Below are 13,877 nucleotides of genomic sequence, written 5' to 3'. Positions count from 1 at the left end.
CTAAAGGGAAAAATGTAGGATCCTACAGAACAAAAGAGAATCATAAAACCAGAGGACACACAGCCCTGCCACCCCACCTAAACAAACAAACAAATCTGTTTACAATGTATGAAATTGTTATGTAAAGAGAAAGGGCATCACTAAACTAGGAATCTTGTGAAACATCCCAATGCAGTAAAAATGAACAAAATGAAAATCAGCAAATTCATATAGAACTATTCTTAAGAATCAGAAGACAAACTTTCACACAAATGAGAAAATTTCACACATACAAAGAGAACTCTCTGAAAAAAAAGCAGAAGAAAACTGTAAGAATTAAATATATAATCAAATATGTGTTTGAGGATATGAAAAACCTCCTTGTAAGAAATTCAAACACTAAGAAAGAAAATGGAAAACAACAACAACAACAACAAACCAAGGATATATGAAAAGAGAATTGTCTTAAGAAAGAACTAAAGTGAAGACAAAATACCTTAGAAATAAAGAATTAGTAATAAGGTACCCAAGGTAGAATAGACTCAAGTGAAACTTAATAAGGAGCATAGAAAAAAGTCAAGAAAACAAGTAAGATAATGAAGACAAAGAAAGAAGCAAAATGGATGAGAGACAAACTAGTAAAAATGAATGACAGTAAAAGAATAATACTCATATCATTAGAGGCACCTACCACAGTCAGTTAAACCCATCTACAAAATGATTATAGCCCTATGGAATAATCTGAACTAGAGGAACCCTACTAGTTCATCCTTGGATTCCTGTCCCTAAGAAACTATGGGATAAAAGTCTACAGTTTTAAGCCCCCACATTTCAGGGTAATTTGCTACATAGCACTAGATAATGAGTACAGATTTTGTTACCTGGAAGTCTTGTACTGCCATACAAATAACTAAAACTGTGGGCATTACACTGGAACTGGGCAGTGAATTTTGAGGAAAGTGTCAGTAAATGTTTAAAGTGCCTTGAACACGCTGTAAAATTTGGGACTTTCAGGAAGATACTAGCAAGCGCTTAAGGGAAAGTGAGGAAAATGTTATTGGAATCTCAGAGGAAGGAAATTCTTAAAAAAATTCTTTTTTTTTTTTAAGAGACACGGTCTCACTCTGTCATCTAGGTCAGAATGCAGTGGCATGATTATATGACTATAGTTTACTGTAACCTCAAACTCTTGGGCTCAAGCCTCTCACTTCAGCCTCCTAAGTAGCTAGGACTATAGGCACATGCCACCACACCTGGCTTTTTATTTTATTTTATTTTATTTTTATTTTCTACTTAATTATTATTATTTTTTTTTTTTGTAGAGCTGGGGTCTAACTATGTTGCCCAAGCTGGGATTCTTATAATGTAGTGGCAGAATGTAACTGTTGTCTGTGGTTATGTGAGAAGTAGAAAATGTGCTTAATGAACTGGGTAGTCTAACTGTGGTTATTTCTAAGTAAAGTGTTGAATGTACCACCTAGTTGCTTCTTGATACTTATAGTAAAATGTGACAGGGGAGAGACAAATTGAGGGAAGGGTGTGGTGTTCTTTTAAAAAGAGCCAGGACTTACGGCTTTGAAAATCTTAGCCTCTCCAAATGGCAAATAATGCTAAAATTAAGAAATGACTTCTGGGTAAAGATCAAATCTATGGCACTTCCAGGAATCGTTGTCCAAAAATGAAAAGTGTGACTGTAAAATCTCTTGTTAAAATTTAAGAAATATCAAAGATTCTATTTAGATCTTCAAAGTTATATTCAGTCACACAAAAGGCACTTTAAAGAGATTAAGAGTATGCCTTACAGATCCTTTAAATCAAAAGCTTAAAGGTGCTGTTTCATAGCCCTATGGGCAGGAACACAAGGTAGAGAAGAACTTATCTCAAGGGGATTTGTAGGTGTAGTTTTTCTCTAATGAAGTAAACCTCAATGAAATTTACAGGAGACCCAAACAGTTATTGATAAAACCGTATCAGCAAAAATATTGCCAGCTGGGACTGAAAGGGACAAAGAGAAAGCAAAATGAAAAGAGGTTCTTGGATCCCCCAAAATTCTACTAGTAGGTAGCAAACTGAGGAAACCACTCAGCTGCAAATTCTGATTCAGAAGGCTAAACCAAAAAGCTAGGCATGTAAAGCCAAGTACCCAGACCCAGTCAAGGAATATCTAACATTTGCCTGGCTGGATTGAAGATTTCTGCAGACTGGTGATTCCTTTTTGCTTCCCATTTTCTCCCTTTTTAAATAGGAACATCTACAGTGTTAATCGCATGTCTGTCCCACAATTATATGTTGGGTGTGTTGGGAGGAAGATAACTTGGCTATTTAGTTTTACAGGTCCACAAGACAAGAGGAACTTCACCCAGGTAGCAGCACCCGGACCTGATTTAGATAATGAGATTCTAAACCTTGAGCTGGTACTTTAATGATTTATGAATTTTGAGGACCTTCAGAGGGGGTGAGTGTATTTTGCATGTGGAAAGGAAGTGAATCATTGAGAGCCAGAAGGAAAACTGTGGTAGGTAGCTTTTAATCCCCAAAGAGTGCTACCTCCTAGTATTCAAGCCTTTGTGTAATTCCCTTCCCTTGAGTGCAGACTGAAATTACCCACTACCTTCTAATGAATAGTATATTGCAAAAGTGATGAGATGTCACTTCAAAGATTAGGTTACAAAAAGATTGTGGCTTTTGTCTTACTCTCTCTCACTGCCTTGCTCACTTGTTCTGAGAGAAGCCAGATGCCATATTGTGAGCTGTCCTGTACAGAGGATCACATGGTAAGAAACTGACATCTCCAGCCAACAACTAACAAGAATATGAGGCTTGACAACGACTAGAAGAGCTTGGAGGTGAATCTTTAAAGTGCTGAACCTTGAGATAACTGTAGCCTGGCCAACAACTTGATTGGAGCTTTATGGAAGATCGTGAGCCAGAGATCCCAGTTAAGAGGCTCCCTGATTCTTGACCCAGAGAAACCATACCATAATAAATGTTTGTTGTTTCAAGCTGCTAAGTTGTGGAGTTGTTTGTTTGTCTGGCAGTAGATAATGATGTGGTAGGAAACACTATCCCAAAATATAGCATCTTGACATACTGAATATTTTAAGCTGAAGTAAACTGAAAAACAAAGAAACAAACAAACAAAAAAGCAGGAAGTTCTCTCTGACCTTCTCCTATCTCTTCTCTCATAAAGTGGGCCATAGAAACTGAAATTTCCCTTGTTCCTTCTTCCCTGAAGCAGGCCAGAAAACCTAGGAAGGTTACTACTCTCTGATCTTCTCCCTCCCTCCTACCTTGAAGACCCTCATGTGACAAGTAGACTACCCCATACCGAGAGGGAAGGAATGTCACACAGAGAGGCCAAGAAGAATCTGAAAAAAACAGGCCTTGCTAAGTTTCCTGCAGCTTCTTACCATTTACCCTTTTGTCTTCTAATTGTACCTCTGCATGACTGTCCACAAAAATACAGTTTTTGCTGAATTTTTGGGTCTTCATTTCTGAAGGCTCCTGTGTCATGTGCAACTTACACTAAGTGAATTTGTTACGCTTCTCTCTTTTTAATCTATATTTTGTTACAGGAGTCTCAGCCATAAACCTAGTGATGTGTAAGAAAAATATATTACTTTTCTCCCTAATAACTAATACATTCATGTATTTTTTAAAATATTTTTAATTTTCTCACAAAACACACCACAACAATATGCCATGGACACAATACATACCTATAATTAAGAAATTTAGAAGGGCCAAAATAAACAAATGAGAAAGGTATACTAAACGGAAACAAAGGAAGCATAGGCATAGAGATACGGATATCATCAAAGTTTAATTTAAGCCCCAAAGCATTAAATACGACAAAAAGGACATTTTTGTGTGTGTGGCTAAACATTGTACTGCAAAGTGGAGCGAGCCATAATGTGTGTGAATATTTATGCACTAAATGTAGACAGTATCCATATTTTTGAAAAAAAACTACAGAATATTCAAGGAAACATAAAAACACAGTAATCATAACAGATGTTACTATAACACTGTCAGTGCAAGACAGATCAAAAGGACAAAAAGAAAATAAGGAGAAAAAATACCTAAACAACTTGATTAATAAAGTAGATTTTATGAACATATATGAGCTGTACATCCTCACATGCCTTCTGCTCAAGCACCTATTAATCCATTCTCAAAATCCAATCCTACATTAGATCACAAAGAAAACATCAGTAATGTACATTATGTTGAAATAGTTCAAATAACATATCTGATCACAATATAATAAAACTGGAAATTATTGACAAAAACAAACGAGCAAACATATAAAACAAATTAGCTCTTTCACCTGGAAATGAAAAATCCTTCTATGAAACAACTCCTGGGTGAAGGGGAAACATAGAGTAAAATTGTCAGGCCTCTGAGCCCAAGCTAAGCCATCATATCCCCTGTGACCTGCACGTACACATCCAGATGGCCGGTTCCTGCCTTAACTGATGATATTCCACAACAAAAGAAGTGAAAATGGCCTGTTCCTGCCTTAATTGATGACATTGTCTTGTGAAATTCCTTCTCCTGGCTCATCCTGGCTCAAAAGCTCCCCTACTGAGCACCTTGTGACCCCCACTCCTGCCTGCCAGAGAACAACCCCCCTTTGACTGTAATTTTCCTTTACCTACCCAAATCTTATAAAACGGCCCCACCCCTATCTCCCTTCGCTGACTCTCTTTTCGGACTCAGCCCGCCTGCACCCAGGTGAAATAAACAGCCTTGTTGCTCACACAAAGCCTGTTTGGTGGTCTTTTCACACGGACGCGAGTGAAAAAAATTACAGAATTTATATGAATAAAGACAATGAAAACAGTATGTATCAGAATCTAAGAGATATATGTAAAGCAGTGATTGCAGGAAAACTCATAAGTTTTTAAAAAAGAGCTAGGAAAGAACAAAGTAAACCAAAAGAGAGCACGAGAAAGGAAACTATAAAGGTTAAAGCAGAGATTGAGAATAGAATAAAATAGACCTCATTAATAAATCAAAATCACTTTATTAAAAAAAAAAAGCAGAAACACCACTAGCTAACTTGTCCAAGAAATGAAGGGATAAAGTACAAGTATACCAATTAAGAAATGACAAGAACTGTTGAAGCAGAAGAGATTTTTCTCTATAGAAATGAATTTGAAAATTAAGATAAAATGGGTAATGTCGTATGGAAATACATATTACCAAATTTACCCTACTAGAATTATAAAGCTTAAACAGATCGATTTTCATATAAAAATATTGAGAATATCATTAAGAAATAGCCCTACAGAAAAACAGTGTCCAGATGTTTTCCCAAGAAGACTCTAACAAACACTTAAAGATAAGATAGTTCTAATGTTCTACATATTGTTTCAGAGCATTGAGAGTAAAGGAAAAACTTCCTTATTAATTTTGTGATGCAAAACCTGATAAAGACAGTACATGAATGCAAACTACAGACCAATATCACTTGAGTGTAAATTTTAAGAAATAACAAAATATTAGCAAACAAAATTCAACATTACAGTAAGAAAATAATATACCATATTCCAAGAATATGGGTCAATATTAAGGAATTCATTAGTAACATACACCAGATTGATATATTGCCAAAAAATAACTGTACATCTGGTTATTTCTACAGATGCTGGAAAAGCCATTGACAAAATTTTAAAGCTATAATACAAAATGAGGCTATAATATGTGTAAATATTTATGCACTAATTTACATATACACTGTAAACATATAAATAAATTACTAAATTACATATATAAATTAAATACACACACACACTCCTTAGTTCTAAAACCAATATTTTATGTAAAAAGAAAACACTAGAGGCATTTCCACTCATATCAGAACAAAGCAAACAAACACACAAAAAAATAGAGATCCTGAGAGACAGAACAATCTCCCACTGTACTTTGACCACTTTTGTCATTCAAAATTGCAAATTGGAGTGAAAGTTATCTCACCAGCACCCCTCCTACTTGGGGCCCAGGTAAATAGCAGTTTAGACAAATTCCACAGGACGTTCTGTGGTGGATGCCAACAGTGTGGCTCTTAATGTCATTGCTTGTTTCAGTGGGAGAGGAGCCATTTTAAGTCATTGTGAGATGAAGAAAAAAGAAGGAAGGTGAGAAAGGGTGAAAGGGAACTCATGGCGAGAACATCTGGCTATCAGGGGCAGAACAATCTGACCAAGATATGAGACAGTGATAAGCAATGGCATCAGGTCACTTTATTCGAGTGAAGGAACCTACTGTAGGTTCAGCTAACTTGGATTTCACACAAGGTCCACTCTCCTTTTGAAAGTCTCTTCTAGCAGTAAACAAGCCATCTGCAAGAATGAGCTGTTCTGATCCCTCGGCCACACAACGTTGTCTAAAACTAATTTCTGTGAAATTAAAAAGTTGCTGGGGTTTCTACAACTTACCCTCCTTGTCTACCTCCTTCTACCCCAAGGGTGAAATTGGAGCATTTGAAGGAGTAAAATAATTAAATTATGCATCCCAATATTCTATCATGGAAGAGAAAAGTACATTGTTTTACAAGCACAAGCCAGGTTATGGAGTGAAGGAGGTAAAAATGGGAATGAGCTCATCACTGTGCAAGATAAATCCTGAGCATTTGTCTCTCAGTAAGAGCTTAGATGCATCGCCCAACATCTTCCAGCTACTTGAACATGCAACTCCCAGGACTCACTCACTATCTCATCCTTCACCTACCCCCTCCTTTGTACACATGCCAATCCTATAATGTGTAATTCCTCATGTCTACTTATTCATGCTTTGGTGCCTTCTTTAGGATTCCTAAAGCCCATGTGCTGGTGTTAACTAGCAGTTTTCTGAATCTGCTTCTAAGGAGCCCATTTCTAATTCTGCATCATGGACTAAATGAGAGGCAAGAGGACACCCAGGCAGGGCCCTTCAACAAGAGTTCTGTGGATTTATCGGTTGTACATTTTGGATTTTGGGCTAACTTTCCCCTGAAAAAAACAATCCCACTCTCCCCTATGCTCCCTTATCTACCAAGTGAGAATTTAAAATATATATCTTGGAGAAAAATTTCTGGACTATAGAGAAAGTATTGATGGGGTTCAGGATATGCCGTCCCAAAATATGACTGAGGAAGATCAGGATATGCTACTCCGAATTATACCACTTTGGCATATTGATTACTTTGAGCTAAAAGAAGTTGAGAACCGGCCAAAGAGGGAAAAGCTTCCCACGTCCCCCTCAATTGCAAACTGTAAAACTCCCTGTTTGTAAAGGAAATTTTCGTTAATAAACGCATCTGTACCAAGAGGAGAACTACTCTGAAAGAACTTTTTTTAATCACCTGAAGACATATCTGCATACCAAGGCAACTTTTATTCATTATGTATTTCCTCCCTTCACCTTCTCATAATCTGCCCCCACCACTCCTCAGATACTCCAAGTCTCTTGTTCTGAGCTCCTGTACGTTTGGGAGCAGGTACAACTAGTCAGCATCACGTGCAACTAGAATCTCAAATACCAACTTACTCTGGGATATCTGCGATTCAGGTGTTGTTTCTGCATATCTTGAAAAAATTTTCAGTGTTATATTGTCTTTCTGAGCAATAATATTTATATGCTGTAATAAAAAATCCAGTAAAACTCCAAATATGACTTTCTGTTCACTACTAGATATATATATTTAGAGCATTTTAAGAGGTTTCTCTTCTAAAAATGAAAGTGACACTGTGATAACTGTAGGCCTTAGACCTTAGGAGACATTGCAACTTCTATGATTGCTCTCCCTGAATGCTGCAATGAGACTGTCACATAAGGAAGTTTATCTATCCTATTTAAGGATGAGAACCACAGAGCCCCAGCTGATGATTAGAATCAACTGCCAGACATGTGAGTGGGGATCTTGGGCCTTGCAGCCCAACTGATGCTCCAGCTGACAACGGTTGTATGAGTGAGCTCAGGTGAAACTAACAAAGGGATTTCCCTGTAAACTTACACACAACGGTGAGACATAATATTTTGTTGTTATTTAAAATTACTAATTTTAAATAATTTTTCAGGTGTCTCATTATGCAGCAATAGATAAGTGATAGAAGCAGAAATATTACTTGAGGCCGAGCATGGTGGTTTATGCCTGTAATCCCAGCACTTTTGGAGGCTGAGGCAGGAGGATTGCTTGAGCCCAGGAATTCAAGACCAGCTTGGGCAACATAGTGAGACGCAGTCTCTACAAATAATACAAAAAGTAGCTGGGACTGATGGTGTGCACCTGTGGTCCCAGCTACTTGGGAGGCAGAGGCAGGAAGATTGCTTGAGCCCAGGAGGCGGAGGCTGTAGTGAGCCATGATCATGCCACTGTACTCCAGCCGGGGCAACAGAGAGAGATCTTGTCTCTAAAAAAAAAAAAAAAAAAAAAGAAAGAAAAAAGAAAGAAAGAAATACTATTTGCCCAAGTCAGAGTATTATTATTTTCAGCATTTTCGTGACAAGCAGGTACAAGTTGTCCCTGTTCAGCTAAGTCACATGGCTTGGTAGGCAAAATCAGCTGCAATTCTGCAAACATAGTAACTGTGGTATAGTTTTTGTTCAGTGAAGACAAATTACCTATTTTATTATCTAAATTTTAAACCCTTTAATATGCTTTCCCAAAAGTTGTCTGAAAATTTTTTTAAAAATCACGAAAGAAAACTAGTGGAAAGCATGACCTAAAAAATGCAATGATTTTCTCAACCTGAAACCAGAAAAATAGAACATTCAAGTATTGAATGAGACATTTTAGTTCAAACTTTGAGGAAGTGACATTTCAGCATAGAACTGAAAGCAGTGAGGGAGTTTGCTGTGCAGTCATCTGGAAGAAGTGGACCAGGCAGAGGGAATAGGAAGCTCGTGCAAAGGCCCCAGTTCAGGAATGCAGTTGTCACGTTCTTAGTATGATTAACTTTTGATAACTATTTATAGTGAGAACAGTGTAGAATAACACAATTGAAAATAAGCTAAACTTTATGAAATTCTTTATTTTCAACATAAAGCGGGATACAAAGTTGACTAATAGAAAAGCAACTTCTGTCTCACTTTCAATAAAAAAAAACTAAAGGACATTGGCTTTAAGTATTTGCTAGCTCAAAATCTGGTTGTAATCTATGTCTCTACATCATTGCCTGGCTCTAATCTCCACCCTTATGACCAACCCAGGTGTCTGGGAGTCTAGTCCAAGTTTCTTGTTCTGAGCCCCTGTAAGTTTAGAAGCAGGCACAACTAGTAAACATCACATGCCACTGGAATCTGAAATGCCAACTTATTTTGGGTGTTCTGGGATTCAGGGGTTGTTTCTGCATTCCCTGAGAAAAATGCTCAGAGTGTTACATTGTCTTTCTAAAAAATAATATTTGTGTGCTAATAAAAAATCCTCCTGAAGTCTAAATATGACTTCTTGTTCACTACTAGATGTACATTTATGGCATTTTAAGAGGTTTCTCTTCTAATTTTTTTCTCTTCATAAAAAAGTATCAAATTTATTTTAATATGTAGTTTCATTTTAAAATTAGAGCTGTTGGACAATTGTTTGTAACTTAAAATTAATTATCAGAGGTGCATAAAACATTAACCAGTTATTAAATACTGACAGTGGATAAAATTACTGGACCAAGTATTTATAAATGCCAGGTTTAATAGTAAGAAGCTCCAGTTACACTACTTAGCTAAAAGAAACATGCTTTAGGCCAGGCGCGGTGGCTCACACCTATAATCCCAGCACTTTGGGAGGCTGAGGCAGGTGGATCACGAGGTCAAGAGATCGAGACCATCCTGGCCAACATGGTGAAACCCCGCCTCTACAAAAAATACAAAAATTAGCTGGGCATGTTGGCGCATGCCTGTAGTCCCAGCTACTCGGGAGGCTTAGACAGGGGAATCACTTGAACCTGGGAGGCGGAGGTTGCAGTGAGCTGAGATTGTGCCACTGCACTCCAGCCTGGTGACAGATCGATATTCTGTCTCAAAAAAAAAAAAAAAAAGAAAGCATGCTTTAGCTCTTCTAGTAATTGCACATTTTTATTTTTAAATAATTTATTCTTACCCAATTACTACCATGCCCAATGAAATTTTCCAAATTTTAAGACGTTCTTTACTACTTATGAAGTATGACTTAACTGTTAACTCTTTGAGAGTTCTTTGAGAGTTCTTGAAACATCATTTGAAGTCTTAAGTCTCACCTTGAACCTATTCGATCAAAAAATATTGAACATTACTACCACATAAATTAAAACAGAGAATGGGATAAAAAACCGAAAGTGGAATCTATATAAACAGCAAATTATGGGATAGTACATTCTATTTCACAGTGGTACTTAGCATACGAATAAACTGGTTCTTGGCTGAATGCGGTGGCTCACGCCTGTAATCCCAGCACTTTGGGAGGCCAAGGTGGGTGGATCACGAGTTCAGGAGATCGAGACCATCCTGGCTAACACGGTGAAACCCCGTCTCTACTAAAAATACAAAAAAAAAAAAATAGCCGGGCGTGGTGGCAGGCACCTGTGGTCCCAGCTACTCGGGAGGCTGAGGCAGGAAAATGGCGTGACCCTGGGACATGGAGCTTGCAGTAAGCCGAGATCACGCCACTGCACTCCAGCCTGGGTGACAGAGTGAGACTCTTGTCTCAAAAAAGAAAAAAAAAAAAAAAAGAATAAACTGGTTCCAAGTTACTACAGCGTTTGGCATATTTATTGCAAGCTTTAAATAATAATGTCACTTTTCTCAACAAGTTATCTCTAAAAAAATGGCAGTGCTTTTAGGTACAAAAACTGTTATATCTAGTAGGCAAAATTCTACACAGTCAAAATAAAAGAATTTTTTATAAAATTATGTTTTAAAAATGCAGAATGTCTTGATAATTACTAGTTGTCTGAAAGACTAAAATCAGAAAAATGCATCAATTAGATGTACTTATTGATTAATATTACTTTGCTTTGATAAAGCCAGAAATGATTCTATTCCAAGAAATAAGCAATAATAATAAGATATGTGATTAATGTACTGTATCTCTTTTAAGCCAAAGCACACTTTTCATCTCAGAGAAGACAATCCTGACTTTTAACATTCTTAATTTTCTTTACGCAGAACAGGGCCCCATTTTAAACCATTATTTGAATAGAGTTCATAATCAAAAGTCATTTTTCTCCAAAAGATATTTTCATTTCAGTACAAAGCTGCAAAATGGCAAATGACTAAGTCAGTTATAAATAATTTGTACCATAATAAGTGCTAATTTACAAGAATTGTCAATAGATACCAACAAACTTCTATACCCAAGCCTAGAAGTTGCTATAGTAATAGGTTAGAACTAACACAGTTCTTCCATATGGTCAGATTTTGTTTGCTAAATAAGACTGTTATGAACTCGAAAGAAGAAATCTTAATAGGTCTTTCCAAGGCTGCATAATTTTCCAAATTATTTTCCTTTGATTGTAGAGCCTGCACATTTTTTCAGTCCTTTTATGGTTGTTTAGCTTTTGCAATATTTTCTTGATGTTTTTGTTTCTTCTTTTGCTCCTTTCACTGGCCTCAATCATCTTGGCCAATTTCCAAAACAGTACAGCACCTGCCAGTAACAGTGGAGGAAAGGCCAAAATGTCTTTTGTAAGAAAACCATATGGGTCCTTTGCAGCCCCATTATACAACGTATTCAGCCCAAGCTTTTATATCAAACATCTTTATAGCAGTTTCACTTATTCTTGATTAATGACCTCTCATTTTGTCCTGGGATTATTAGTGAGCCAATCACAATTTTAGATTACCCTTGGTGGTTTGTATTCTTTAGTTCTACTGTACACTTCTGAGAGAAGGTTTAAATTTCTAAGGGGACCATGTTCACTCCTGCCCTTCAGCCCTGGCAAGTGTGGGTTCCTCACCCCACCATGAGCCAGGTAGGACTTACAGATCCCCAGAAATGTGGGGGTGACACACTACAACTTGTTCTGCCAGCACCAAAGCCGCCATCTCTGCTGTGCACTGGGACAAGAACCACTGCAGCAGTGGCCACTAGCCCTTCCTACAAACTGCCAGGGTCTCAGACTTCCATTTCCATTTTCAATTAACTAATGTTTTAAAATGCCTAGAAACCGAAATAATGGCTTTTAAAAAGAAGTTAATTACTTTAGATAATTTCATTTTATGAAAATATATGCTAGGTTAAAAATTTCAAAGATACAGAGAAGCAAAAATAAGCCAAATGCAATTCTGCTACTCAAATATGCAGTTTCTATTTTATATTATTCTATTCTTGAGCATATACCTGTAAATAAATATATGATAAAATGGGCTGAAATGCTATGCACTATTTGTAACCCATTGTCTTACCTTATTGATATATAATGAAATTCTATCCTTCTTAATAAAAATATGCCTGTATTATCATTTTTGATGGCTACACTTGTCTCCTATTTAACTAATACTATGTTGAATAAGTTTGATTTTGTAAATACAGAATGGTTATCATGAGGTTGTTTCCATGTTTATATCCATGACTATTTTCAGTTTCTGGAAGTGGTTTAAGTGGACAGTTATTATTCATATGCACTAGCAGCTCATTCCCTTGCAGAGTCATTTTGCTATACCACCAAAACTCTTTTTAATCCTTTAGAATTAAAAATCTTTTTCAAGTTTTAGAATGCTAAATTCTTTATAATTTAGAACTCTTACACTTTTTTTTTTAAGAGATGGGATCTTGCTCTGTTGCCCAAGCTGGAGTGCAGTGGCACGATCCTAACTCACTGCAACCTTGAACTTCTGGTCTCAACGGATCCTTCTGCCTCAGCCTCCCAAGCAGCTGGGACTATATTTATGCCACCACTCCTAGCTAATTGTTTTTTAAAAACATTTTGTAGAGATGAGGTCTCGCTATGTTGCCCAGGCTGGTCTCAAACTCCTAGCCTCAAGCAATTCTCCTGCTTTGGCCTCACAAAGTGCTGGGATTAGAGGCGTGAGCCACTGCACGTGGCCTAGAATTCTTTTTAATCATTGCCAATAAATAGGGAATAAATAGTGTCTAATTTAAAAATTTGGAATTTTGGTTACTAGTATTGATAAACAATTTCCCACAAATATTAACAATAATTTAATAATGTTGTCAGATATTCAGTACATATTAACATTGCCCCAAGTATCTCAATAATGTCTTCTATGGTTTTCTTTTTTCAAATGAGGGTCCAATCCAATTTATGCATTGCATTTAGCTATTATGCCTCTCCCCATCCTCATTTTTATGACATCGATTGTTGAAGATTTTAGGCCAGTTATTCTATAGAATATCATCCATGCTTGATTTGTCTGATTGTTTCTTCACGGAGTAATTTAAGTTATCCTTCTATTTTCTATGTATTATAACTTTTTTTCTATGTATTATTTTCTATGTATGTATAACATTAAAATCTCAATTTTCGTTTTTTCTTCTCTTTTTTGAGACGGAGTTTTGCTTTTGTCACCCCCAGGCTGGAGTGCAATGACATGATCTTGGCTCACTGCAACCTCCGCCTCCCGGGTTCAAACGATTCTCCTGCCTTAGCTTCCTGAGTAGCTGGGATTACAGGTGCACGCCACTACCTTCGGCTAATTTTTGTATTTTTAGTAGAGCCAGGGTTTCATCACATTGGCCAGGCTGGTCTCGAACTTCTGACTTCAGGTAATCCGCCCTTCTTGGCCTTCCAAAGTGTTGGGATTACAGGCATGAGCCACCATACCCAGCCTTTTTTCTTCTTTCTTAGACAAGGTTTTTTGTTTCACCTTTTGTCAACAACATTACACAACGTCAGTGATTAAATATTCCTCTCTTCCCTCAAAATATTTTATTGGTCTAAGTTCTAAGCAATTACTATGCTTATTGTTAGGCTCCAATCATT

General features: G+C 37.0%; 1 pseudogene, besides 1 other annotated feature; it reads right to left on the bottom strand.

Moving 5' to 3' along the window:
- Positions 4,049–4,898: an enhancer, noted in NCBI's record as "OCT4-NANOG hESC enhancer chrX:42866214-42867063 (GRCh37/hg19 assembly coordinates)". NCBI's record gives its function as "activates a minimal SCP1, AML or CMV promoter by ChIP-STARR-seq in naive and primed H9 embryonic stem cells {active_cell/tissue: H9 hESC(naive and primed)}" and the evidence as "EXISTENCE:reporter gene assay evidence [ECO:0000049][PMID:30033119]".
- On the bottom strand, positions 11,476–11,771 carry SMIM15P1 (SMIM15 pseudogene 1; annotated as a pseudogene).
- Between the last annotated feature and the right edge of the window lie 2,106 nt (positions 11,772–13,877).

This window comes from Homo sapiens, chromosome X, assembly GCF_000001405.40.
Source record: "Homo sapiens chromosome X, GRCh38.p14 Primary Assembly".
NCBI classification, from domain to species: Eukaryota; Metazoa; Chordata; class Mammalia; order Primates; family Hominidae; genus Homo; species Homo sapiens.
The sequence above is the reverse complement of the archived record's forward strand: the minus strand, read 5'-3'. Positions and strand labels throughout refer to the sequence as shown.